We start from the raw sequence: 26,969 nt of genomic DNA on the forward strand, positions 1-26,969 counted from the left end.
TACAAGCCTTCCAAGATTCCCATGAGAAAGTATCCATTCCTCTCTCCCAGCACTTATCACATTCCCATGATTAATTTTTTAAAAATCTGCCTACTTTCTCTACTAGTCAGTGGGCCCCTGGAGGGTGGGCACTGAGTCCTAATTATTTTTTTGTCCTTCCTAAATACCTGCACAATGATTAGCTCAGAGTAGGCACTTCATTATTTATTAAATGGGCTAATAGAAATCTACAGGCTGAAATTGAACTTCCTCCACCACGGCTCCCCCAGCCCCTGCAGCCTGGCTCTTCCCGCTGCCTCTGGCCTGCAGCATGTTATCTGCCTCGCTCCTCTGCTGCTCTGTCACACGCTGTATTATGGAGGATCATACACTGTGGCTTATATCGTTGCAAACTTCGTGGGCAGGTCCTTTTCCGACTGGAACGGGAGCCTCTGGAGGGCAGGACGAGTGGGCCACGCTTGTTTATATCAGCACACACCCGGCACGTGGTGTTCAGCTGGTAAAGACCTCCTGATCTCACACGGGCCGGCAGCTGCTGGGAGCTGGGGAGCTTCCTGTGGGATACTGGGGGTTTCCATAGCAGCTGTGTATCGGATAATTTACATGAAAATACCAGGTTTTTGAAGGCGGGTGCTTAGCAAATGTTGGCTAAATGGGTGCAGCCTCAGAGGGGAAAATGTTCTGAGTTGCTTTAAGCTGGCTATTTAATTATTCTGAAGGAAAACTGTCTTAAGACTTAGTGGGCTGTGAGCCTGTGGCAAACACAGCTCTGCAAAGCAGCACTTTCAGTCACCTGGGTGCTCTGGCCATCTGCTGGGGCTGTGTTCTTATCCCCCCGCCTTTCCAGAGTCTGACTCTGACATGCTGAATTTCTTATCATTCATGGGACAGATGAGGCTTCGTTACTTGCCTAGCAGCCACGAAACCCTAACAAGATCTGGAAAGAGTCAGTCTCAGGGGTCCACGGGTCTGGGCGGTTCATGGTGGGGCCTCCGCACAGATTTGTCCTGTGTTCCCCAGTGGGGCCCAGAGGCAGGTGGAGGTGGGTGTGGCAGGGCAGCAGTGCAGATGTGCTGGCCGGTCCCACCCTCTGAACTGGGAAGAGCTAATGAGGAGAGGAAAGGTTGAGGCGCCTGGGGACACAGGCACGTGGTGAGGCAAATGTTCCAAGGACAGCCACAGCCAGGACTCAGACACAGCGGTGGGGACTGGGAGTGTGGAGTGTGGAGTAAAGACAGCCCTGCAGCGACTGCCTTCTTTTTTTCCCCCTCTTTTTATGATTCAGTTTGGCCATCTGTCTCTGGACAGGGGGAGGTCAGGTGGAAGGGACAACTGGGCTTGGCAGCTCATAAAAGTGAGGCATTCAGCATGGAGAACACCCAGTCTCTTCATCAAGATTAACTTGCCCAAGGAATAGTATATGTCAGAGTGTTACAATTTCCATAAGAAAGCGGGAGAAAGACCGTATAGGGATCTGCTGATGTGTCTCCAGAGCACACAGGAAACTCAAGTAAGAGTTTGCCTCTGGAGAAGAGAACTGCATGAGTGGGAAACAGGGGTAGGAAGGAGATTTTTTCATTGTATGCCTTTTTGTTCCTTTTAGATTTTGAAATTACCCAAATGTATTGATGTGTGTGTGTGTAAAACCCAACACCCAAAGTCCCTGAGAAAACCTTTCTGAAAGAGTAAGCAAAGCTTAAAGTTTATTGCAAGAATCAAGTTTTGCTTGCAGAATAAACACAGAAAACCATTTCATTCAGAGCACAGAAATGAAAAAGGTGCTTATAGGAAGGAAAGAAGGAAGAAAGAAGGAAGGATGGAGGGAGGGATGGAGGGAGGATGAAAGGAAAAAGGGAGAGAGGGCAGAAGGAAAGAGGAAGGGAAGGAGGGACGAAGGAAGGAAGGAAGCAATGAAAAAGGAAGGAAGGAGGGACGGGGGAAGGAGGGAGGAGGGAGGAGAAGAAGGAAAGAGGAAGGAAGGATGGGAGGAAGGAAGGAAGGAAAGGAGGCAGGGTCGGGGGTAGGGAGGAAGAAAGTGGCACTCATCCGCATACAGCTGCTACATGTACGATGCTTGCCCCTGGCTCTGCTCGACCAACACATACTCTACTATCCTACTAATCAAACAAAAAAGCCAAGAAAGTTATGCTCACCCGGTTATTCTCAAATAATTCCAAGATGAAGGTAATAGCACTGCTGTTGATGCCGATGAACAGATTAGCACAAGATAAAGCCACATAGGCTGTGCTGGGGACATCAAACAGGAAGGATGCTGGGTACATCATGGGAATGACCGCCCATCTGTGTGAAATGAGACAACTCAGAGTGATGGAGTTCCACATTCCATTCCACCTACAATACGTCTGGATATAATGCACTCCCCTTACACCTGAGGTGATGTGTGTGAACTGGCCAGAGTCCCAGGGGACCAGAGAGATACTCCATTTGTTGGTCTCTGTGCCTCAACTTTAAATGGAGATAATGATGCCTGCCTTGACCACTTCATGGGGTTTTGTGAGGAGCAAATGGGCTGCTAGCTGTGTATATACTCTGTAAACTACAAAGCCCTGTACAATTCATAGGAGGGTTCTCCAGCCTGCAACACCTCCCACTCTAGCCTGGGTCAGCAAAGCCCAGCTGAGGTCATCTCAGATGAGCCCAGTGAGCTCATCTTCACAGCTTATAGTCAGGTTGGTTCCCAAATTCTCTATTTCCAAGAGAAAGATGTGGAGAACAATGCTTTGGCAAGGCTCTACTGGCCCACAGAGGAAGGACCAGGATCACTATTTTCTTTTACAGATGAGGAAACTGAGGCCGAGATGGATGAATTACTCATTCAAATTTACACACGTGGGAAAGAAAGTTGCATGCTGGGCCCTGTAACTCTGCTGATGTAACCCCTGTGTCATCCTCTGTCCCTGACTCAGGAGGAGCTTTTTGGCCGGAGTCTTCTACTGTGGGCGGTAACTCTTGGCCAGTTCACATGGGGACACTGAGGTGGACAGATTGGCCACAGATGAGTGAGAGTCAGAGCTGGGTGAGGGGTTGGGGAATGGCTGCCCCCAGGCTTTGGTCAAGGCCTCAGTTTGAGTAGGAGATTCAGATCATGTGGGACTTCTCTCATTGTCACTGACAGGACCAGGCCTCAGAGATACCTCTGTCAGTGGAGTCAGAATCAGAAGCCAGACAGATCCCTGGTTATCAGCTTCAGACCCTACCTGGGGCCGGAAGCTAAACTTGTGGGTGCTACCACCACAGGACAGCCCAGGTTTTCTGTCAGGAGATGATCCCCCACCCCCACCACCAGGCTTCTCTTCAGAGGCATTAGCTAATGGCCCAAACGGCTTACCCATACAGCAGGAGCAGTGCCACAAGGGCAGGAAGGTTTTCTGGAGAAGTGTAGGCTTTCTTCTGAAACCCGATGAAGATGCCCACCACCAGCCCAGCACTCACGGAATAATTCATCTCGGAAAGAGAAGAGGAGAGCAAGTCACTTAACCTCTCAGACCTGCTGCCAGCTCTGCAAAATGAGGGGTGGGGCCAGGCTCCTCCAGCTCGTAGGGTCTGGGATTCTGATTCGACTTGCTTTTTAAACAGTTCTTGGTTGGCAAACATATGTTAAGCTGTCACTAGTCCTCCTACCCCACCCCATGCCCTACCTCCCTGCCAAGGGAACCTTTAGTTTGTATCTTTTGAAAGGATCAATTACAAAATTCTGCCTGGTCTCTCACTCTTTCTATTTGGTCATAAAGTTTTGTTGATTCTTCTTTCTAAGCATGTCTTCAGAATTCAGAAAAACTTAAAGCCTAGTTCTTGGCTTCACAAAGCTCAAATAAATAATGATACCCTTTTTAAACAATTTAGTCCTACAGCCACTATACTGGGCACAGAAAGGGGACGGCAACAGTGGGGTTAGGGGAGGAGCCATGGTGATCAGGAGCAGGGCAAGAACCAGAGACGGGCTTCCTCAGGGGGCAACCTGCCGTGGGGTGTGGAGGCCTCAACGGGATGAGAAAGATATCCTTACAGGAGGCTGATCTGGTGCAGGGTATCAGAGCCAGAGCAGAACGAGGAGGACCTGCATGCAGCAGAGGCAGCTGGAGCAGGGAGAGGACGGCATCCACATGGGGAGGGGATGGTGGCAGAGTTGGGCACTGTTCAGGTGTATAGGTCCGGTAGATAAATGAGTTGGGAGTGAGAGAAGCCAGCGTCTCACTGTTGGAGAAGGGAGTTACAGATGTGGAAAGAAAAAAAACTAGAATGAGCCCTGTGGAGTTGGTTTTGGAGAGCTCATAGTGTTCACTGTATAGGTAGATAGAGAACTATAGATAGAGGTGTGTGCATACCTGTGTGTGTACATCCATATCTTCCCTAGTTCTATCACTGAGAAGGCCTGGGACCAATGGTGCTCCAGAGGCAATGAACATATCTAGCACTCAGACCTTGGCTTCTGAGGGCCACTTCCCACTGGCAGGAACCAGGGCTTCTTGGGGAGAGGGTAGGAATGGGGATAATGGAAGGATGAGCCTGGAATATCTTGCTGTGCCATTGAGCATGGAGGAGGTCCAGGGGCATGAGGACCCAAGTCAAGACGATACAGAAGCCAGCTTCAACGGCCCCCCACTGACCACAGTGGGGATAATGTGAATATCAAAATAAATAATGATAGTCTTGGATCATAGTCCATTGATTAACACATGAACCATGACTGCATACAGAGATAAATAAATGGATGAATAAATGGAAAATTGTATAATGAATAGGATATTTATATATCTTTGAAGTGCCTCTACCTGAAATTTGTATTTATTATAAAGGGGAAAAGAGTAATTTTACAGTGAAGAAGCTCAGCAGACACCTTCTTAAGTGACCGAATTGAACATCATCAGTAACAGAGCAAATTGAAATCAGAAGCCACCTGATAGGATGCAGTGAGAACACAGCATCTGTTTGCTGATACTGCTGCCAAGATGCACACCCTCAACCTGGGCAAGAGGAAACCTCAGACAAGCTCAGACCAAGGGACATTCTGCAAAATAACCAGCCTGCAGTCCTCAAAGTGTCAAGACCATGAGTGTTAACAAAAGACTGTGGAACTCTTCCAGGCTGAACGAGACTAAAGAAACAGCACAATCAAATGTCATGCATGATTCTGAGCTAGATCCTTTTTTCTGAAAGACATCACTGGGGCAATGGGCGAAAGAGGAGTGGGGTGTGAGGATTAGGTGGTGATGACACATCAGTGCTGGTTTCCTCATGTTGACAGTTTGTGTTGTGGTTGTATGGGGTGTATCCTCGTTTGTAGGAAGTATACATCGGACGTGCTGAGGGGTGTGAGAGAGAGAGACAGGAAGAGAGAAATAAATGAGAAGGGGCATCTTGCTGAGAAGTTACTTTCAAATGACTAAGAAAAAAAGGTTTCAACTGTACTTGTGACTTTTCCATAAGTCTGTAACTGTTGCAAAATTTTAAAGTAAAGAAAAATAGATGACACATATAAGAATTTAAAACATCATATATGTGCTAAGTGAATTACATAAGCAATAATTGTTTGTTCCTTCATTCAACTTTTTTTTTGCCACTGGCTAATGGTGGTCCTAAGTTCCAAAATGATGGATCGCGGAGGTGAGATTCCAGGCCAGCTTTAAAATTCTGGAGCATCAGAAAGCCTGCTAACATGATGCCTACCATCTTCTACCCCTTCATTGGACTGCCAGCTAGTATCACCTCCCACCTCAGATGTCCACTCTATCCTAGCTACATCTCTCTCCATAGGCTCAGAGATCCCTGTAAGCGCACACGCGCGTGCGTGCACACATACACACACACAGAAACACGTGGGCCAGCCCCAAGTGTGTAAATTCTATTTCTTATCTTTTAAAAAAAGTAAAATTAAAAGCCTCCGCACTTTTCTAAGTAACTTTTCGGTACCGGTGGGCCTAGCTCCTTTTATATTAGCATCACAGGGCCAATGTGGTACCTGCAGTTGATGCTCTTATCCAAAGAAAGGCTTTCAGGTTCTGACCTCCTCCCCGTGCATTTATGAGTGTTTCCTCGTGTAGACAGAAGAGAGAGGAAATAATTTAGTTGCTACTGATAATCTCTGGTTTTGTATTGTTAAGTGATAGCTGCTTACTAAGCTGAGTAAGATAGAAATCATATCTTCAGGAATTCCAATATTCACCATCATTTTAAAAAACCATGGATGAGAAGGTCATTTGTGTTGGTCTCCATCAGTTGGTATATCTTATCATCACATGAAATGGAGGCTCATGTTGGTCTTAAAATGTTGAGATTTTACTACTCAAGACACCTAGAATAAATTGGGGTTGATGTCATAATGATCCCTGTTACATTATAACTAGGCCTTTACTACCAATTCCTTTGACCCTGCAGCCTGTAATAGGGTACGCTATCCTGACCCCTCCCTACCCCCACCAACCTTGGTTGTCAGGAAGGTGGTAGTGTGCTATTGATTTAATAAATATTTTTTCTTCATTTTTCCCTGTAGCGGTGGTTAATCTAATAAGTGAAGGTCTTATTATTTTGGCCACTGGCTGGGGTTGCCAGATTTGGCAAATAAAAATCTAGGATGCCTAGTGAAATTTGAGTTTCAGATAAACAACCAGGTTTTTTTTTTTTTTTTTTTTTTTTTTAGTGTAGATATGTCCTGTGCAATATTTGAAGTAGCATATGCTTATACTAAAAATTATTCATCATCTGAAATTAAATTTAACTGGGTGTCCTGTATTTATCTGGTGACCCTACCACAGGGAAAGTTTTACCTTTACCCTTTTGAAGGTGGGGCAGGATTTGAGAAGGGGACTTGGGGTGAAAGACCCCTTCATATTACCTTCTCAGCGCCAGACTGATGCCAGGAAGGCCAGACTCATGCCTGCGGTGCAGTGATTATTTGATGGGTCAGAAGACCCCTCAGTGCAGGACATAGAGAGCCCCCGTTCACCAGTTGTTAAGCTGCACCCCACAGCCTTTCCTAGCTTCGGGCTCCTAGTTCTGTGCCTTTCTGAGAAGATGTCAAGGGACAGCAGATACACAAGGCCCTTGGCCCAGTGCCTTTCAGCAGCCCTGGCACCGTGAGAACCCCTCCCCTCTTGGTCTGGTCCTTCAGAGCACACACAAGCTCCACCTTGGGCCCACGGAGGGGAGGGAGGCGCTGTAAACTGACACTTACGATGTCCCAGAGGAAGTTGGTCACCCAGTAGGTGGTGGGGCTCACTCCACTGATAAACTGGAGGTGCTTGGATTTGTTCACCCGCTCCTGGATCAAATAAAGGACAAAGCTGGCTGGGACGAAGGACATGGAGAAAATCACGCAGATGGCAACCACAGCATCCACTGAAGTGGTCAGCCTGCAGCAGGGCCAGAGACACAGGGAGAGGGCGATGAAGAGGGAAGAGCAGAAGGAGGAGAAGATACAAAGTCAGGCTTTGGGAAGGCCTTACACCCGCCCAGGTGTGGCCTCCAGGTTCCTCTTCTCTACCTTGAAGCTGTCACTCCACTAAACTGTCTTAATCCATATGGACCAAGGTTAAATGGGTATTTGCGGGTTGCCTTTCTATTTCATGTGAATATTTCTAGACAACCTTTCTTTTTATTATATTCTCTAATTATTTTTATGGTGTATAGAAATAGATGTTTATATTAATCTTATGTACTGCAATGCTCTCATTAGCTCTAATAATCTGTCTATAGAGTCTCTTGAATTTTCTATGTTGACAGACATACGGTCTGTGAGATTTATCTTTTGTTAATAATCATCTTGTTAAATCACATTTTCAAGAAGTACATCGTAACACAAGGAAATGTTCATGATGTAAATTTAAGTGAAAAGAGGGCAGGCAAGTTGTACAGGGACTTGGCTCTATTTATTCTTTCCTCGGACAAATAGAAGGCATCTGGCTGAGGGGTAAGTTGGGGCTAAAGCCAGCCTGAACTTTATGTACAAGCCATAACCCCTGGCATGGGACAGTGTCCACCTGCAGAAAAGAGCATTTTTACTAATTTCCACAAAGGTATCCTATGTGGTAGTCACTACCTTGATAAAACTACAGATCATATCATCCATACACGTAGTAAGCTTAGAACAAATGACTGGAAGGAGACACACGAAAGTGTGGCTGAGTGAGAATTAACAGAGGACAGTCTAGGGCCCTAGGGTGTCCAGAGGAAGACACCAAGGAGCCAAGGCCCAGGTTTTAGTGGATGACCCTGGGCATGTTCACTGGCACTCAGCGTGTGCTAGGATAGTAAAATCAGGACCCCACAACGTTGCTGAAGTTTGCACTAACAAAGGTGCTCCTACCAACCCCTCCTCCATGTAGGCCTCAAATAGAGTGAACATACTACAAAACGCACAAGGCCACTGTCTCCACTGGCTGAAACTGTGCAAGAAGAGCCTCAGCTTGAGGGTAGCAAAGCTCTGTCGACATCTCCAAAGTATGCTCTTCTGAGGAAATTCCTGGAATCTAAGATAATTACTCCGAGGGAGCTGAAAGGTTTACTGAACTTTGCCAGTTCCTGGCAGCTGCTTTGCACATAGCAAAGATAATAATTGTATAAGCTCCAGGAGCAACTTGCTATCAAAAGCCAAAAGGGAATGGAACCAAATGTAAACTTACTTGCCACATAAATGTTGGGGAGAAAGAATGACCAAGAGGTCTGGTATGTGAAGTGTGAGGCACTTATTTGAAAGTCGGATGTTCATATGTGCCTGACTAAACAGCATTACCATCCAAATCAGCACTTCGCGGTGGTGAGAATCCTCTCAGGATGTTCAAAGAGTGGAGAAGGTGACAAGAAAGTGGTGAGGCTGGGGCTGTGGTGGCTTACACTGTAATCTCTGAGAGCTGCTCCTTGGTCAGGTTCAGGGGTTGGCTAATGACGGTGATTCCATACTCCTCGGGGCTCCTGTCCTTAGGCAGGCTGGCCCGTAAGATGGCGTTGTGGGCCACATTGAGAAAGCTGACCAGGGCATGCCAGCCTTTGTTATTAAACCACACCTAGAGGGTGGAGAGGACATCTGAGACGCTGCACTAACAGCTAGTTAAAGCAGAAATCAGTGAAGGAAAGGAAATTTGAGAAGCAGGAAGGGTTTGGTAGCTGGAAGACATTCCTTGCTAGATTTCAGCAGGAGGAGGGATGGAATTTAATGAAGGTAGGAAAGTAAAAATAAAATAACCAGCTCAGGTAAATTTTTAGCTCCAGAGCAGATTATACATAGGTCAAGTACCTTAATGTTGTCTTCAGTTTCTAGATGTTTAAGGAAATCAGGTATTTCTTTAGAGGCCTCTCTAGTGATAGGGCCCTAAAAACCATGTAAACAAACAAACAAGACGGTTTTAATTTTTTTTTCCTGTTATCACTCATGAGAGTTTCTCATTCATGGTAGTTAAGCAAGTCAAAAATCCTACTCAAATCTCCAGTCTGTTTACATACCCCGCTCACATTCATGATCCGGCCAAGGTCGCTTAAAAACCCAACAAGTGCTTCCCCCGTGATGGGGACGACTGGGAGCTTTCCTCCAATGGAAATTCCTCCATACCTGACAAGGAAACAGGAAATCCTCAGACCAGGGCCACGAACTTCACGCCTACTAGTAGCTCTCTCGGGTTTTGTAGGGAAACATGAACTTTCGGGGGAATTGCCTGGACCAGCGAGCAACATGGCTCCACTTTACAAACCAGCTTTTAACTCTTTTCCCACTGCTGCTGCCTCCAGGAAGGAGTCCAAACCCTCATCCTGGCCTCTGAGGCCCTTCTGCATCTGGTCTGTGCCCCTCTCCAACTTCATCCTTCCTCAGCCCTTCCCTGGAGTGGCCTATTCTGGACATATCGAGTCACTTCCAGAGCTCCTCATGGCCCAGACTGCCTGCATGTCTCTGCCTTTGCATGGCTGCTAGCTCCCCTCGGCACCTTTCCCTTTTGGGAGCATCGAGCCAACTCCAGGTCCTCTTTCACATGTCACATGTCATCTCCTCCCATCCCAGCCAAGGACTCCTTTTCTGTGCCACCTCTGTGCTTTGCAGGTACTTCTAGCAGCACAGGACCCATCTTCATCCTGTCATCCCTACCTCTCGGGGCTTCTGTGCCTCACACCTGTTCAGGGAGGCCCTTAGCCTCTCCTGCCTGGACTTGTGCTCTGCTTCTTCACTGGCCCTGGGATCTATCTCCTGTACTGCCCTGGAAGTCTGAAGTGACTGTGTGGAAACACCAGTCTGAGTGCATCACTCCCTGGCCTCAAACCCTTCAAAGGCAGGGCAGAAGCCAAAGTCAACAGAACAGAATGAATTAGCTGGTTATACCAAGCAGAGGAGGAGCTCTTTCTCAGGGCCTTGAATCACTGCCTCACTCCTACTCTCTGTCTCAGCCGAGGCCCCACAGGTCCCTCTGGAGAGCAATCCTGAAAGCCAGATTTCATGTGTACGGTCTAGAATCTGCCCAGGAAAGCACATACATGTCAGCCCCGCACCTGTTCTGGAGGTGCAGTTCCTGAGGGAGGCTGGGAGGCAGCAGGCTCCTAGAGTCCCACTTGGTGAGGTTCTAAACCTCTGGAAATATTTCAACCTCCAGGATGCCTCAGGAATGGGGTGAGTCTGGGGCTGGCCCACACTCCCTGAAGCTTAAAAGGAATGGGCCAAGGAGTGTCCCGGGTTTAGGCTACAAGGCCCTCTTGTTGGAGTATTATAAACTGTTATATACTTGGAGGTTTTAGAAGCTTTTTTTGGGTGAGAATGCTCTGAAACGCCACATCAGGGAATGCCACCCCCACTTATGTCCTCCAAGAAGAGGCACCACTGAGTGTCTTCTGAGTCTGGGATGTCCCTAGCCACATATTCTTCAGGACGTGTCTTGTGACTTCCTGAGCACCTACAGAACAGCCCCTCCTCATGGCTGTGAGGTGTGCCTTTTAAAAGTGTGCAATTATTTCAACAATGAATCAATCTGAGATTTTAATTCTGATAAAAATAGTTTCTTACCTCTGTTCATTGACCCAGAATTTGCTCTTTAAGCTGAAAGCCAAAATAAAATAATGCAATGAATACCACAAGTACAGCAGTGCCGTTAACTTTCTTTCCCAAACATTCATTTTGAAGACTGAAGTCTCAGTCTTCAGGGGCATTTTTGCATTTTCCGATATCCAAGCAATGCGGAAGCCGCCCAGCCCTGGGACATTGCCTGAATACACATGCAGAGAAAGGACCTATGATTTCCCCCACTGGCTCTCCAAATCATATCCCGCATGCTGGACTTTCTGAGTGGTCCTGTTGTCAGGTCATATGTCAGGTCAATATGCCTGATCTGGACCCAGAACACACGGCAATGACCATGTCAGTGTGGAATGAAGGCTGCAGCCCTCCTGTCTTCCACCCTGCAAAAATGAGACTCTAACAACCACCTGCACACCTCGGGGGAGTTCCGACTCACTCCACAGCCCAAAGTTAAGGCACTGACATTCAGTCAATCAAGGGTAAAATGACAAAATGGGAAATGAACAGATGCCAACTCTGGACCCCAGAGCTCAATCCCATGAACTGTCATTGTCATCCACCTTTAAGCACACACGCACAAAATCCAAAATTTCATACTGGAGATTTGCTGCTGAGAACTCAGTTTGGGATGGTTGCTGTTTATTGCATTCTATTTATTCTGCTTTTATTTTGGGGCTTGGATGGCATTCTTTGTTTTGCTAAATGCTTTCACCATTTGCAGTGTGTTCTAGTTAATTAAGTCAATTTATCCCTCGTTCAGGGCTCTGGCAGGTGAAGCAACAGAAAGTCCTACTAAAGTTAGACAGGAGGTTTTATCTTAAAGCCCCAGAGCCTGTGCGGACTGGACCACGCTTCCTTAGGATCCTCTCTCCTGGCATGGCATGCCCCTGTCAAGCTGCTTGTTCTGATACGGGCTGCCAAAGCTGTTCCATCCTGGATGGGGCTGATAAGAACAGCTGGAGAGCCAAGAGAACTAGATATTTCTTGAAAAGTTCATTGGCATCTCAAAGGGCAGTGATCAAAGATGATAATTCACAGTTAGAATATGACAGCTGCAGTTGACCTGGCTCGCCCTGGCGTGTGCTGGACTCAGACACTGTCCCGCTGCCTCTTTCCCACCCTATCTTTTTCCTTTCTCTTTTTTGCCACTTACTTATTTTCTCTTTTTCTTCTACCTTTTCCCCTATACTCCTCCACCTCCCTCCAAATTTTTACTCTCTCTTTTAACTAGTTAAAATATGTGGCTGCATTTTTGAATAACTTCTATGGTCTTCTGATATAACTTTTAATAATACGTGGGTTAAAATTTAAGACTGCTTGCCCTAAATGTAAAAACAAACAAACAAACAACAAAAAAAGAATTAATCTTAAGTTACATTTTACTTGTATGTGCCTCAATTGCTTTTTATGTTGAATGGGGCCCTCAAATCAGATAAAAAAGAAAAAAATCTACTGCCCTGATCATACATAAATTGAGAGAGAAAATTATCTTCTGTCCCTAGTTAATATCTTCTACAGGGAGCCAGGATAAAAAGCATAAAAGGATTTCTTCTTACCTGCTTCTTATAAGAGCAGGATACGTTTTTACCAAGAAGTCGGAGATGTTCCTGTCCGTCAGGTCTTGTAGAATTTCCGTGCTGCGCTGTGTTCTCTGAGGCAATGAGACACCCACGTTAATTACCTTGGAACTTGAGGACTTATAAGTAGTTTGTGAAACTGCTTGTTGTCTTCCAAAAATTATTTATGGATTGAGCTGCTGAGAAAATACTAAATAAAGTACTGGCATCTCCCTAGTTCTCACTTCAATGATGTGTAACTCATCTTTGATGCCTCTTTTTTCGCCAATCCATTGACAAGACAGAATGGCGTCACTCCAAAACAAATCTCCAATCCATCTGCGTTTCTCCAGCTCCAATACTGCCACGCTACCCAAGCCACCACCTAGACCACTAGAGAAACTTCCACATGGGTCTGCCTGATTCTGTCCTTGGTCTGCCAACTTCCGTTTTCCACCCAGCAGCCAGCTTGAACTATAAAAATGTAAACCCGAGCACCTCAGTCACCTTGCTTACTTATCCACTCCAATAAACCCTGGGATCAAATCTCGACTCACTACCAAGGCCCATGTGGCCGATGTGTGTGGCCCTGCCCCTCTCTGAGCTCACCTGCCACACTCCCCTCCCTGTCTCTCGGCGAGCACCTCTCTCTCCTGGTGCAGCTTTGTGCTTGGCTGTTCACTCTGCCTGGGAACTCTACCTGTAGACCCTCTCATGGCTCGCTTCAAATTTTATTCCTCGGAGAAATGTTCCTGGTTCCAGTCACTCTGTATTGTCATGTACTGTTGTGTTATCTTCATAGCTCTCATTTCCATCTGAGAGTTTCCTCCCGATGGATCTGTTTACGTATTTGTATCTGTAATCCCCCGTAGGATATCATTTTGGTGAGAGCAGGGACTTTGCCTGATTTGTGAGCTGTTGTGTCCCCAGCACCCAGAATAGTGGGTGGCATACAGATGACACAGTTGATTTGTGACATTAATGAAAGAATTTGAATAGTTCCTTACAATTTACAAATCACTTTCAAAATACATCTAGGACTGGAAGCTAGTTCATCGAAATATTTTGGAAAATTCAAAGGTGCATGGGTTTGTCCACCAGGTGGCAATATTACTGCAAATCTGGGAACACATTCCGCTTACATTCTCATAAAAGCATTCACTCTGTCAAGGGTGCTGCCCAGAAGTAGTTGAGGGGATTTTGGTGGCATTACACCGCCGTTATTGCGCACCATTCTTTCCTTTTCATACACTTTCTATCTCCTCCCCCTGTTTTCCCATTTGACTTTCCTCTTCTTTAATTCACTCTTTTCACCTTGTTTCTCTCTCTCCTGCCAGGAGGAGAGCTGGCACCTACCGAATGCTCCCTGTGTGTCGGGCACTATGTTAAATGCCCTACATACACGATCTCACTTCATCCTGACACTCTTTGAAAGAAGAATTTTTAGCTTAATTTACAGACAGAGAAACTGAGGTTCAGAACAGTTAGCTGACTTGCACTGACTGGGCTGCAAACTTGCAGGTGGGTGGCCCAGGGCCTAGGAACTGAATCTGCCTCTGTCTCCTCCTTGCTCTTTTCACTGAGTCACCTGCTTCTCAAGCTGAAAGTGGCACTCAGACACCGGCCAAGCTCCCCTGGTGGAATCCAGGTTGGAAAAATTGCTGCTGGCTGCGATAGCTTATGATAAATTGTTTTATAAAAGTTCTGCCCAATAAAATATTTGTGTAACCCTATCTCCACATATACTAGAAGTCAGGGACAGAGTGCTTCCACCTCAGGACCCACCACATTCAAAGAATGTTAGAGCAGGGAGGGTCCCTAGAGATGACCACATTGCCCCATTTCCCAGATGAGAACAACTGATTGTCTCTGAATCAGGCCCACGCCCTCTGGACTTATTCCAGGCTGAATGAGGGATTGTGTTTGAGTGGCTAGGGTGAGCAGATGTGAATAAGAGTGTGGGTTTGTGAGTGTGTGTGTGTGAGAAAGAGAGAGAGAGAGAAAGATAGAGAGAGAATGAGAAAGAGATTGAGAGAAAGAGTGAGAAAGAGTGAGAGAGTGAGAGATAAAGAGTAAGAGATAGATAGAGACAGAGAGATTGAGAGAGAAAGAGAGAGAGAGAAAAAGAGTGAGTGAGAGAGACAGAGCGCGCACAGCTCCTGTGCATATGCGTGGCATTCAGTTTTGCTCCAATGGAAGGCACGTATAATAGTGAGGAAATGCAGAAGTGAAAGAAAATGGCAGGAACTGGCTTGCCTTTTTCTAGGACTTTGGCTGTTACATTTTGTCCAGGGACCAAGGACCAACACTACTGAAAATAAGTTTCTAAGCTGGACAGACCGCGTGGAAGTAAGGGTTCGTTTAGGAAATGAAACACCATGTAGGTAGGCTTGGCCTCCCCTCCCTCGCCCTGGCCAAGAGCTCAGGGTACAGTATCACAGCCTTGACGTCCTGATGCTGGAGGGTTTTGAGTGGAGGCAGCCACAGGAGCCCTCAGCATTGACAGCAAAGCAAACAAGCAAAGCTTCCTCTTGGGGCACAGAGGACTGAGACAAGTTCCTTGGGTCCTTCTTTTGGGATCCCTATGATGCAGCAGATGAGCTGTGATTCAAAGAGAGAAAATATTGCTTGAGAAATATAAAGATACATGCTTTAGAATATAAAAAAGAGCAGGGATCGGGTGTTCTTGGCCTAGAACCATTTATAAACCAGACTGTGATAGGTGCTGTGGCAAAATCTAGTTGCTCCCATTATTTGCTCCTCCCTGCTGCCTTAGCCATAGCCTTTTTTGTTGGGTTTGTAAGTGGAAGTACTATGTGGGAACTTCAGAAAACCTTCCCTAAACATAGCACATGTGCACACTCTGCCCTCTGTTTTGCTTCATCCTTCTTCCATTCCGCTGCCTGGAAGGCAGCTCCTGCCTTATTGGCTGATGAGGCTGAGGCCTGTTTAGTGTGGAGGAGAAAGAGAATAGAACATCGTGCACCACCCACGTAGACTTTTAGATGAGTGAGAAACAAGTTGTGTCTTGTTTTATCTGCTGTTAGTTTGGGGTTGTCATCACTTGAGTTGAATCTAATTCTAAATAATTCCTTGCCCACATGATTTCATTAAATCCTCATAATAATATTATGAAATAAGCAGTTATTCCCAATTCACAGGTGATAAAATTAAGGCTCAGAGAGGTCAAGTAGTCCACCTGGGGCTCTCCGTGTCCCATACCTGTGCTTTCCCACTGAACTGCATAGCCTGTTTGGGAACAGTTTATTCATTGACAAATCATTGGACAGGGCTGTCTAAGGCCCAGCCCTGGCAAGTCAGCTGGGAGGCCCATTATCAACCACGGACACAGCCTTCTTTGATGTCTCTAAATCCCCCAGGAGATGCTCACTGTAATCTGTTCTGGACTTTAGAACTCCCAGGACAGGGTGCTGCTCAGAGCCAAGATCATTAATGTCCCTGCAAAAGATGGATGCTGGCTGTGCATGTATTTGTGTACATACCTGCAGATGTTAGAGACACAGCACATGGAGAGCTTCTTAATTAAGACTGTTAATAAGTGTGTAAACACATTTCCATTTGAATGTACATCATAGCATTGCTTATAATGGTGAAAACTAAAAAACCTAAGTGGCGAATAATGGGAGATCAGTTAATTTAAAGTAACTTTAGGCCAGGAGCAGTGGCTGACGCTTGTAATCCTAGCACTCTGGTAGGCAGAAGTGGGTAGATCACTTGAGGCCAGGAGTTCAACACCAGCCTGGCCAACATGGTAAAACCCCATCTGTACTAAAACTACCAAAAAAATTAGGCGGGCATGATGGTGCATGCCTGTAATCCCCACTACTCGGGGGGGCTGAGGCACAAGAATTGAACCTGGGAGGCAGAGGTTGCAGTGAGCCGAGATCACACCGCTGCACTCCAACCTGGGTGACAGAGAGAGACTCTGTCTCAAAAAAAAAAAAAAAAAAAAAAAAGAAATTCAAACAATGGGATAATATACAGATATTAAAAGTGATGCAGATGTCTATTTATTGACATGGATGCATGTTCCTAGTAAATTATGCAGTAAATCAGATTTTAAGACAATATTTGGAATATAATCTGTTTGGGTGGCTGCAAACCAAACATTATCTGTGTTTATATCCAAGCGATGATTTTTTTTCCTTCTGACTTACCTGTGTTTTCTAATTTTTCTATAATGAGCACATATGACTTAATTTTTTTTAGTGCTTAAACACATTTTTTCTACTAGATCAAATAGGAAGTATCTGGTGGAAAATGAAGCTTTTGGTGAGTGGCTTCCTCCAGTTGGCAGCCACAGCGCCCTGTGGGGAGCCCCTCCCAGAGGGTGCAGGGAGTTTGGTTTAGTCCCCTACTCAACTGCCAGTTTGAAATGTTAGTTTGTGAGAGACTCAGGAGATACCAGGGACTCCCCTAGTCCCTCTGTGGCAGGCAGACCTGGGGCCCCGTTGTTTGGAGGTCAGGTACCTGGGGGGGCGGGAGGCCCCCGGCACCCTCGGGGCACTCTGGCAGCATGGTGAGCTTCTCCCTGGTGCTGCACCTGCAGGATGGTGAAGGGTTGACCTGTGTCCATTTCTGCTTCTGGAACAGCTGGGTGATGTTTGGGGACACAGAAGGAGTCTTCCAGGGTGTTGAGTTGCCACAGGGGTACTCCCTCATGGAAGACAAGAAAATATTCCATAATCAGCCTCAAAGTTGCTGACAAATCCCTAGGCATAAGAAATTGTGCCCAACCCTTTCCTCCTCCTCTTTAGACCCAGGCCCTTTCTTCTTATTCTCTTGGAGGCTGGTTTCTGCTCAAGCAATATCAAAACTAGGGTTTTGTGACTGACTAGGTGTGGGGCTGGGGAATAACCATCTCTAGCTTGTGGATCGTTTTGTCTCCCTTTTTATTCCTAGCAGCTCTAGCTGTTGAGAGACACAGCAACCAGAAGAGGAATTTGAAATTAGTCTGTTTTGGTCCTTATTGACAGCTTTGAAAAAGACTGAGGGAGAAAAGTTAAAATTATATTGAACTTTTAGGATTCCTGGTGGATGTCAATGGCCTTCGCTAACTCCCTTCTCCAGACTCACAACTATCACAAAGTACTGGCCACTGTGTCACTCACGCCATTCAAGGCCCAATCACACAATAGCATAACCCTATTTCCCTCCCTCCCTGCTCAGAGGCCTTTCAAATAAGTTATGGGGAATCATCTGTCAACTCAACATAGAACTTCTATGCTGAGAAATATAGAGCTGTCCAGTGGTGTGGGGGCTTCCTAGGAGGTAGTGAATGTCCCTGCACACAAGTGTGGAAGGAGAGGTTGGGGGAGTGCTGGTCAGAGACATGGAAGTGACCAGCAGAGCAGGATTGAGTGGGGCCTCCCCAACGCCTGCCATCTTGAACCCACCGTTGGGTCCTCCCAGGGGAGCTAGTCTTCTTAGGACAGGGGCGCGTAGGCACTTACGGAAGCCACCCTTCCTTCAGGCAGCGGTTGCCAAAGCCTGGCTTATTCAGGAGGACGTCTGCAAGTACCGTGAACTGCTCACTGCCTGGTTCATCCATGCTAGACAGAGTGAGACATGTGACTGGGACAGAGCAGGCGCGTGCCAACATCATGCAACTCAGAGCCTTTACTGGATAGCTGCTGTGTGCCAGGTATGTATTGGAGGCACCGAATGCTGCCTTGGGATGGCGCTAGCTCTCCTGGGAGTGCGGTAGGCTGCCTGAACACTCGCAGTGGTCTGATGGCATGTCACCTATGCCTCAAAAAGATGGCGCTTCAACCCATTCACCTAAGCTTTGCATTCCTTTCCCCATTCGGCCTTCCCAAGCAGTCCTGCCTGTCCACTAGGATCGCCTTTCCAAGCAGTGGCAGATACATTAAGTTCCTTTCTGCAGGCAGCCCAAAGACCCCTCCCCTCTCTCATTGGTGAAGGTCCCAGTGAAGTGGGAAGGTCAGGGCCCTTCTAAGCAGCATGTGACCCAGGTGCCCCAAACCCACAGAGGAGAATGGTGACCCCGAGTCCGCGCACCTGAAGAAGGTGTACTGCTGCCCATATATCCAGGGGTGAAGGGTCAAAGCGGGGTATTCGCCAAAAGGAGGGATAACAATAGAAAGCATCAGAGCCAAAAACACAAAGGTAGCCGGGAGCACGATCTGTGGGAGAATAGACGTGGAATAAACATGACTGTGGCATGGAGATGTCACACGTGCGCGTGCACACACATCTTCATTCTTTTAAACATTTATCCTGCAGCCTCCTAATCAGCCCCTGGTGGAGAGGGTTGGGCTTCTGGGGGAACATAATAAGCAGGGTGTGCAAAGGTAAGATGTGCAGAAGAAAACAGAATGTTCTGGTGGCCACTGAAGAATCTGAATGCAGCCCAGTGTTCAGCCAGACTTCAAAGGGCATTTCAAAGAGCAAGTCACGTGACTCACTGTTCTTTAAACCAGAGCTTCTTTTTCTAAATTAAACAACATTAAAAGAAAAAAGAGGGCAATGATTTTGATATGTAGGGTCACTGCAAAAATGAATGAAAACATGACTTTATCCCTCACTGTAAAAATAAAAACAATATTAACATTTTCACTATTATTCTATTTTCTTTGCTAGGGGAGGTCCAACTTACAAAGAAGATTCATGTTACCAAGAATCAAGATAAGGGTTTGGAAAGCAGGAAACAAAACCAGCAGAATCTAAAGAGGGTGCTCCTTGCTGAGTTATAACCCATGCCTGAAGGAACACTCAGGAGAGGAGGGGAAGGCTGGGAGAGGAGCCACTGAGCTCAGCTAAACACCGACCGACAATAGTACCTGCGCCAGGAAGTCCTTGTGGCTGCGGATGGTGTGTTGGAATCTCTTGACCAGCAGCGCCTGCACATGCTGGAGGACCAGCTGTGTCCCCGTGTTGAGCTGCGGGCCTGGGCACTCTGGCTCTGGGGGAGGCTGGCCCTCTGGGTGAGCAGCCGGCGCCCCTGGGGAGCAGACATTGGAGTCCTGGGGTGTCTGTCCAGCCTTCTCTCTGGGACCCAAGCAGGGGTGTCGGGGGTTGACGTTTTCTCTTTTCTGCTGAGCGCCACCTGTTTTGAGAGATTGAATTAATAATTTGGAAAATGCCTATAAGGTCTGGATCTCTAATGCCATTTTTTTTTTCCCTTACAGCATTGATTTTCCTCTTCATTTAAGTCAGCAATGAAATACCAGGCTGGTAGCTTAATCATCTTTATAAAAATCTATTTCTAGTGTAAATTACTTATACAGAGAAATTGTATAGATTCACCTGAAATTGCCTTAAAATTCTCTATTAACATTAAAGAGAACAAAATAGCTCTAAAAGCATTGACATGGAGAAGTTTAAAATACGTAACTTGGTTAATAAAAAAACAAAACTGGCTGGGCACGGAGGCTCACGCCTGTCATCTCAGCACTTTGGGAGGCTGAGGTGGATGGATCATTTGAGGTCAGCAGTTTGAGACCAGCTTGACCTACATAGTGAAACCCCCTCTCTACAAAAATACAAAAATTAGCCAGGCATGGTGGCAGGCACCTGTAATCCCAACTACTCGGGAGGCTGAGGCAGGAGAATCACTTGAACCCAGGAGGTGGAGGTTGCGTAAGCCGAGATTGCAAGACTGCACTCCAGCCTGGGTGACAGAGCAAGACTCCTTCTCAAACAGCACAAAGAAAACCAAACAAACAAACAAAAAAACTAAGGTGCTGGTCAATATGTGTAATACACTCACATTTATGTTTAAAATTCATGTTCATGTATCCTACACAAAGAAAAACTGACATCTTATGTACACACACACACATAATTGTAAAACTCTGAAAGAATGTCCACCGACTGTCAGCAGAAGCTCTCCCTGGGGAGGCAGAGTTGGGTAGAAAGGGGAGAGGAAGTGGGAAGCGAGACTTTAGCCTTTTGTGTATTATATGAATTTTTAAACAACAAAATACATTCACCTATTACCTGTGTACTTAAACAAATGAAAAATCAGAGTCGATGTGGTTCTTTCTGAATTCTTAGAGGATACTGAGAAGTGGTAGAAAAAGTAATGAACTAAGAGTTAGGGGACTGAGGTTTGAATATGGATTCTTACAAGATACATAAATTTGGGGAAGTGACTCAATCTGCCTAAATCTGAGTTTTCTCAGACTTCTTATCTGTAAAATGAAGGCATGGTGGCTCATGCCTGTAATCCCAGCACTTTGGGAGGCCAAGCCAGGAGGATTGATTGACCCCAGGAGTTTCAGATCAGCCTGTACAACATAGGGAGACCCTGTCTCTACAAACAACTAGAAAAGAAATTAGCCAGGCACGGTGGCGTGTGCCTGTAGTCCCAGCTACTTGGGAGGCTGAGGTGGGAGGACCCCTTGGGCCCAGGAGGTCAAGGCTGCAGTGAGCTATGATCGAGCCGCTGTATTCCAGCCTGGGTGACAGAGCAAAACTCTATCTCAAAAAAAAAAAAAAGAAAAAAAAAAAGAACATTTCACAGGATTGGTTTGGAAATTTAAATGAGATAACACATGGGAGCATGCTCTAGAAACCATTGCAAGTTGTCGGTTATGTTGAAGCTACAGTTTATAGTCACTGATTAATGCTCATTTGCTGAACAACTATTGCTGGACATGGAGAGCCTAGAGGACTGTTGGTTGGTCCCCAGCTGCTTTCTTAACCCTCCTCAAGTCCCCCAGGACAAGGACAGTTGTAAAGGGAATTGGATCAGCTCAGTCATCCTTTCAACTACATTTACCTATGACGTGCCAGGCCTGGGATGCGAAGGCTGGGTGGCAGCCCCAGCCCTGGCACCTGCACTCAGAGGGGCGAAGTTCTGCAGGTTCTCGGTGCCAGAGCCCCAGTTCTGCAGGCTCCTTCTCCTGATCCGGGCTCAGATTTGATGTCTTCTATGGCTGGCCCTCCCTCTGGGAGGATCCCTACTGCCCCTCCTCTTTGCTGGCTGATATCATCTCAAACCTCTGAGCTTTGATCTCTCCCTGAAGGCTCCATCCTGACTGGAGCCCACTGACCTGGCCAGAGCTAAGGGTTCCAGGCCTATTCAGAATCGCCAGTTTGTCCCTAGCTATCTGCTGCTTTCTAGTTACTGACTATGAGTCACCCCTTCAGAAGTGGCATTGACCCTTGTTGGAGGCTGCACAAATGTTTCTTATGATTAGGCATAATTGAAATCTGTCAGTAACAACATGAACCCGTGATCATTTAAGCAGCTGACCCAATCATTACCTCCTGCTCCTTCCTCCTGTTACCCAATAAATAATGAAGGGCTGCAGAAGCTTAGGGAGCTGCCTTTACTCATTAGAAGCAGGGAGCCCTTTTCTTCTTCTCTTCTTCTCTCTTCTTCTTCCCGATGCTAGCCTTTCCTTAAAACAGTTACTTTGGTTTTTTTGTTATCATTTCCATGTTGATCCCTTCGTTCAGTCTTGTAATGATGTTCTCAGGCAGTAACAGTAGTAACTGCTGTAATGATGGTTTCACGTAGTAACCGTGGCAGTCAGCCACAGACCCTCTCCATGCCACGCATTGTGTGACCCCAATGCACAGCTACAGGTTCATTTAAACACTGGAGACAAGATCAGAAAATGTCATCCTCTGAGACTGAGCTAACTCAAAACAAATGTACTTAGCCATCTGAAAAGTGGCTGAGAGTGTGGCATTGAGCATCCTAGATTACAGAGCTAAGACCAGAGAGTGAGACCCAGTGGCCTGGGTGACTTTAGGCAAACCCTCCAACCTCTGTGAGCTCAGTTCCCCCCAGATGGGGCAGACCCCTGCCCTGCCTGCTTCATAAGATTACAGTGATAATCAAATAAGACAATGGATGTTAAGTGCTTTGAGGTAAGAGATGGTTTGTAAACATTTAGTTTAGAGTTGCTAAGTCTTAATCAGTGATCGTATACTGTGTTATAAGTCGGCAAGCATTAACTCACTTAATTCTCTCAACAATGCTACAGGTAGATGCTATTATTATCTCCATTTTGCAGATGGGGAAACAGGTACAAAGAGGCTATGTACTTACCCAAAGCCAGTTAGTTTGCAAATTATGAAGCTCAGGTTTGATATTTGGTCGGCCTCACTCCAGAGGCTACACTCTTACCCACTCCCCTTGACTGTATCTTTGGAACATCCTGTTCTATGCCTATGCTGACTAAACAGTCCTCTGATGTGTAATTTATTCTCCTGAGAGGGCCTATTTATCAAGAAGGAATATTCTGCACAGGTAAAAGGCCCTAACTCTTGAATCCAGCAAAGCTTCTGATATAAATTAGCATATTTTCATTCTGGTCTTGGTTAATATGAGTCTTTGACATTGGGTGAGCTGAGATTATTCAATTTCTGTGTCAGCAGAGCTTGAAAGAAACTTGGGTTCTGTGGTGAATTGCTGCTGTCCCCTGGAGAGGACTGCTTCCTGCCCCACACCCACTGTGCCAGGACGACTACATCTTTTGGTCACCATGCGATGTACTGGGATGGGCTGAAGCATATCTGGGCTGGTATATGTGTCCATTGGTAGTTCTAGGCATAGTAGATAGATGTTTGGGATCATTATGAAGAAAGATGAAAACCAAGTTATCTTAAGAGCTGATTCCAGAATCCACATAGAAAGGAAACACTCCAACAGGAAAACACTGAAATATGCCACACTGGAAAGAAGGAGGTAACTGGTGGTTTAGGAGGTGTTAGGAGCCCAGGGGCAGCAAAGGAGAATCGCTGCAAAGCTTTGCCTGTACCAGGAGAGGATTTTACAGTGTGGGTGGACACCTCGTGTTCTATCAGAAGTGGTTTCTGTTTGTGTGGCAGGTAACCCTTCCACACATCTATCTCCCCACCCTCCACCCTCTGCTGTAAACTCTGCTACACTCACACATGCTTTGTGTGGCTGTGGGTTTGATAAAAGTTCATGGAAGGAGCTAGTTGGTGCCCAGGCTGACACATGTAGAAGAGAGACTTCTAGAATCCACAGGAATTTTGGTCCCCATGTTTTCAAAGCCCATAGACCACTAAATAAGGGTTCAAAATGATTTTATGTTGATCTCAAAGGGGCCAGGAGACTGACGTCTGAGTTGTATTTGATAAACATTAAGGACTCTGCCAGCTGTCACTCATGCAGACAGAGATGGATCAGAGGCCTGGTGGAGATGACAGGAGGAGATGAGGATGATGACATGGCAGGCCGAGAGACTGGGGATACAGCATGAGGAGCTGAGGGATGAAGCTACCAACCTGACCTCCGTAAGAATCCTCATTCATCCAAAGTGTCCCCATCTAGACCTAACTCAGTCTGTTATTCCTTTGTCACTCAAAGCCATCTAGGATGCAAAATGCCTACTACTGGGGAGTCAGATACTATGGAGGAGTATTTGCCTGCTTTGTTGTTTCATGACTTTTTCCTTAGACTTTTTTTTTTTTTTGAGATGGATTTTGCTCTTGTCGCTCAGGCTGCAGTGCAGTGGCACAATCTCTGCTCACTGCAACCTCTGCCTCCCAGGTTCAAGTGATTCTCCTGCCTCAGCCTCCCGAGTAGCTGGAATTACAGGTGCGCGCCACCACACCTAGCTAATTTTTGTATTTTTAGTACAGATGGGGTTTCACCATGTTGGCCAGGCTGGTCTCGAACTCAGGTGGTCCATCTGCCTTGGCCTCCCAAATTGCTGGGATTACAGGCATGAGCCACTGTGCCCAGCCCCTTAGACTTTCGAGATGGAACTTGGGAGGGAGGCAAGGAAGGGAACAAGCCACTGGCTCCAGCACCATACCCGCAAACAGAGGTCCTGAATCAGAATCCTCCGTGACCTTCAGAAAAATCTGTCAAGAAGAAAAAAAGAGAGAATTTTGTTTAGTCATTCTTATTCTCAGAAAAATCTAACCCAAGCTCTGTTTTGTTGGGTATTGCTTCATAATGGGAAGAAAATCCATTACGACTCTATCTGAGAACATCATCTTCTATAAATACAAAAACGTAAGCACACAGTAACCACAAGTACATAAAATTTGTATGCATGCAGAGATGGGGGAACTATGCCAAAAATAAAGATAGTTGCTATGCTTGGGTGGGGAACGATGGCTTTTTGCTTTTACAAAACTTTGCTCTAATGTTAGACTTTTTCAAAGAACCGCCACTTCTGGCACTTGACAGAAACCAGCTGGAATCTCTACTTTACCTCTTCCAGGGGAGTGTCAGAAATTCCAAAACTGCTGAGACCAAGGTCAGCCAGCGTCTCCTCCAGCTCTCTGAAAAGGCTGGCATATGCTCTGTGCTTGAAGTTCTTATTTGGAAGAAGGAAGATAAGTTCTTGACCAATGCACTCCACCAGCTTTGCCTCTGGAACATGGTGGAGAACTACATCCATCAGCTCATTTACATCCCCTAGGACAAGAAAAAAGACTGATGCCAGCTCTGTTTTCCAGAAACTGGAAGACTGTGAGGTTACCCAGATTTCCTACTTCTCTCCACTTCCCCTTTGAAGAAGAGGTATTTTGTATCTCGGCAGTGACTCTTTCAGAGGACTGATGCTCCATCAAGTCTGCTTTTAGCTTAGTTGGCCCTGAGATCATCATTGAGAGGCAGAGGGAAACGGAAGCAAAGTCCTCCCGACTAGCTAGCTGTGCAACCTGGGGGCGGAGGTTGGTGGGGGGGTCATGCAACTTTCCTGTGCCAGTTCCTCCTCTGTTCAACGAAATGCTCTGTCCCCTCAAACTATGTTATGTTGGGTGGGTCACATTAGACTTTCCTCATCTGTGAAAAGGGGAAAATACTGGTATCCACTTCATTGTTGTTTTTGAGGACTGGATGAGTCAAACTACACAAAGCAGTTAGAGAAATACCTGGCACATAGGTGAGTGCTGGCTGCTATTATTATCCTTTACATCATCTCGGTAAGAAATCTCTTACTCATGGTTGTTTTTCATTCTCATTCACTGAAAACTTGAGGGCTAAGTCAAAGTTGTTTTCATTTTTCTGGTCTGTCACCAGCTATGGGGGACTTGCCCAAGACACAAACCTGGAACCGGTGACCAAGCTGAGTGAGAAGTACCTTCCCTAAATCACACACACATGCCTACTCTAACTTCTCAGAAGATTGCACAGTTTCTCTTGGGATTGCACCTGCCTCCACAAACAAAACTGAATCCTCAGGTCACAGGAAATGCAGAGGGGGGGTTGAGAAGCCATGGAGAGAGGCTGGGGGAGAGGGTAGGATATGCGGTGCGTATCATAGACTGTGAACAAGTGTCAGGTATCAACTGTTTATCTGACACATGTATACAGTCAGAATTGAATTTTATGTACAAATGTGTATTACTTTAAAATTAAAAATCTAACTGTGAAAACCTCACTTGCATGCACTTGAAGAGAGAGTTCTCTCGCACATTGTCTTGAGAGGCAGGTCAAAGGGAGAGGGATTCCAGGACTCAAAACATGACTCTTCAGAAAGCAGCTCTCAGAGTTGTGGACACCCAGTAGGTTCTTTTCTTTTTTTGTTGTTTAAAAAATGATCCATATGAAGGGATTTCATGGTTTTCAACCAAAATCCTTCTGCCTAGCCGGATTGGAAGTCTTGCTTTATGTCAAATCTGCAAGTTGGACTTGATTGTCTTTAGCTCTGAGATGACTTCATACGGAGGCTGGAGAGTCCTTTACGTTAAGGAAGCAGCTCTGCCCTAATAGCTCTCCAGGGGTCATATTCATTGTTCTTTTAGGAAGGAAATTGAACCCAAAGCTGCTGGATTCCCAGGAATTGTGTCTTAGGCATGTGTCAGCCTTTCCAGAAGTAGCTCTGTAGGTCAGCAGGGCTTTGGGCATCTGGGAGGGAGGTCTGTGAGTGTGTGTGTGGTATGTGGGTGTGTTTAAGTGAAAAGACTTTCAAGGAGCTAACTGGGGATTCAAATGATTTTCCCTTTCTTATTTGGGGCATAACTATTTAGTGCATTTCCCACCATTCACAGCATCCCGATTCTATACAAAGAAAACCTTTATTTAGAAATAAAGTAATTTAAAAAAAAGAATCATTCAGCCATGCAGGCCCTGTTTCCAATCTGATTTTGGCAAATCACAGTAACTTAACATATTAGTATCAATTTAAAACAAATATAAACTTCTTGACCAAGGTTCAGAGAGCAGGGAGATAGGTACCCACAGCAAGGCAGGCTAGGAGAAAGACCCAGAGATGTCATCCTAAAAAGATGTTTTCTGTTCATCACAGGGTCTCTCAGTGTAAAGAGAGGGCAGGTGCATGAACAGTGATGATGCCTCTCTGAGCATGTTCCCTCCAGTTGTAATGATCAGACAACGCAAATATTGCCCGGTTCTCTTGCTTCACCAGATTTCAGTTAGTAAATTCTTAACATTTGAAAAAGTTTGTGCTAAATAGAAAAAT

At 46.0% G+C, this 26,969-nt stretch overlaps 1 protein-coding gene across 2 annotated transcripts in view, besides 2 other annotated features; it reads right to left on the reverse strand.

The window, feature by feature from the left end:
• The window catches only part of ABCA4 (ATP binding cassette subfamily A member 4), a 128,315-nt gene that overhangs the window by 19,556 nt on the left and 81,790 nt on the right, over positions 1–26,969 (reverse strand). For both annotated transcript variants that reach the window (NM_001425324.1, NM_000350.3), the window contains 14 exons: positions 24,756–24,961; positions 24,351–24,399; positions 19,389–19,654; positions 18,607–18,731; positions 18,039–18,137; positions 17,056–17,242; positions 12,565–12,659; positions 10,997–11,029; positions 9,457–9,562; positions 9,251–9,325; positions 8,851–9,020; positions 7,193–7,370; positions 3,350–3,465; positions 2,154–2,301 (listed from right to left, as the gene is read on the reverse strand). In NM_001425324.1, the coding sequence (NP_001412253.1) occupies positions 2,154–2,301; positions 3,350–3,465; positions 7,193–7,370; positions 8,851–9,020; positions 9,251–9,325; positions 9,457–9,562; positions 10,997–11,029; positions 12,565–12,659; positions 17,056–17,242; positions 18,039–18,137; positions 18,607–18,731; positions 19,389–19,654; positions 24,351–24,399; positions 24,756–24,961 (1,853 nt within the window). The remainder of the gene's footprint in view (positions 1–2,153; positions 2,302–3,349; positions 3,466–7,192; positions 7,371–8,850; positions 9,021–9,250; positions 9,326–9,456; positions 9,563–10,996; positions 11,030–12,564; positions 12,660–17,055; positions 17,243–18,038; positions 18,138–18,606; positions 18,732–19,388; positions 19,655–24,350; positions 24,400–24,755; positions 24,962–26,969) is intronic.
• Positions 8,357–9,556: an enhancer, noted in NCBI's record as "CDK7 strongly-dependent group 2 enhancer chr1:94486302-94487501 (GRCh37/hg19 assembly coordinates)". NCBI's record gives its function as "activates an origin of replication core promoter dependent on BRD2, BRD4, P300/CBP, MED14 and CDK7 cofactors, with strong dependence on CDK7, by STARR-seq in HCT116 cells {active_cell/tissue: HCT116}" and the evidence as "EXISTENCE:reporter gene assay evidence [ECO:0000049][PMID:35650434]".
• Positions 24,243–25,442: an enhancer, noted in NCBI's record as "BRD4-independent group 4 enhancer chr1:94502188-94503387 (GRCh37/hg19 assembly coordinates)". NCBI's record gives its function as "activates an origin of replication core promoter dependent on BRD2, P300/CBP, MED14 and CDK7 cofactors, and independent of BRD4, by STARR-seq in HCT116 cells {active_cell/tissue: HCT116}" and the evidence as "EXISTENCE:reporter gene assay evidence [ECO:0000049][PMID:35650434]".

The sequence above is a fragment of the Homo sapiens genome, chromosome 1, assembly GCF_000001405.40.
Source record: "Homo sapiens chromosome 1, GRCh38.p14 Primary Assembly".
Classification (NCBI taxonomy): domain Eukaryota; kingdom Metazoa; phylum Chordata; class Mammalia; order Primates; family Hominidae; genus Homo; species Homo sapiens.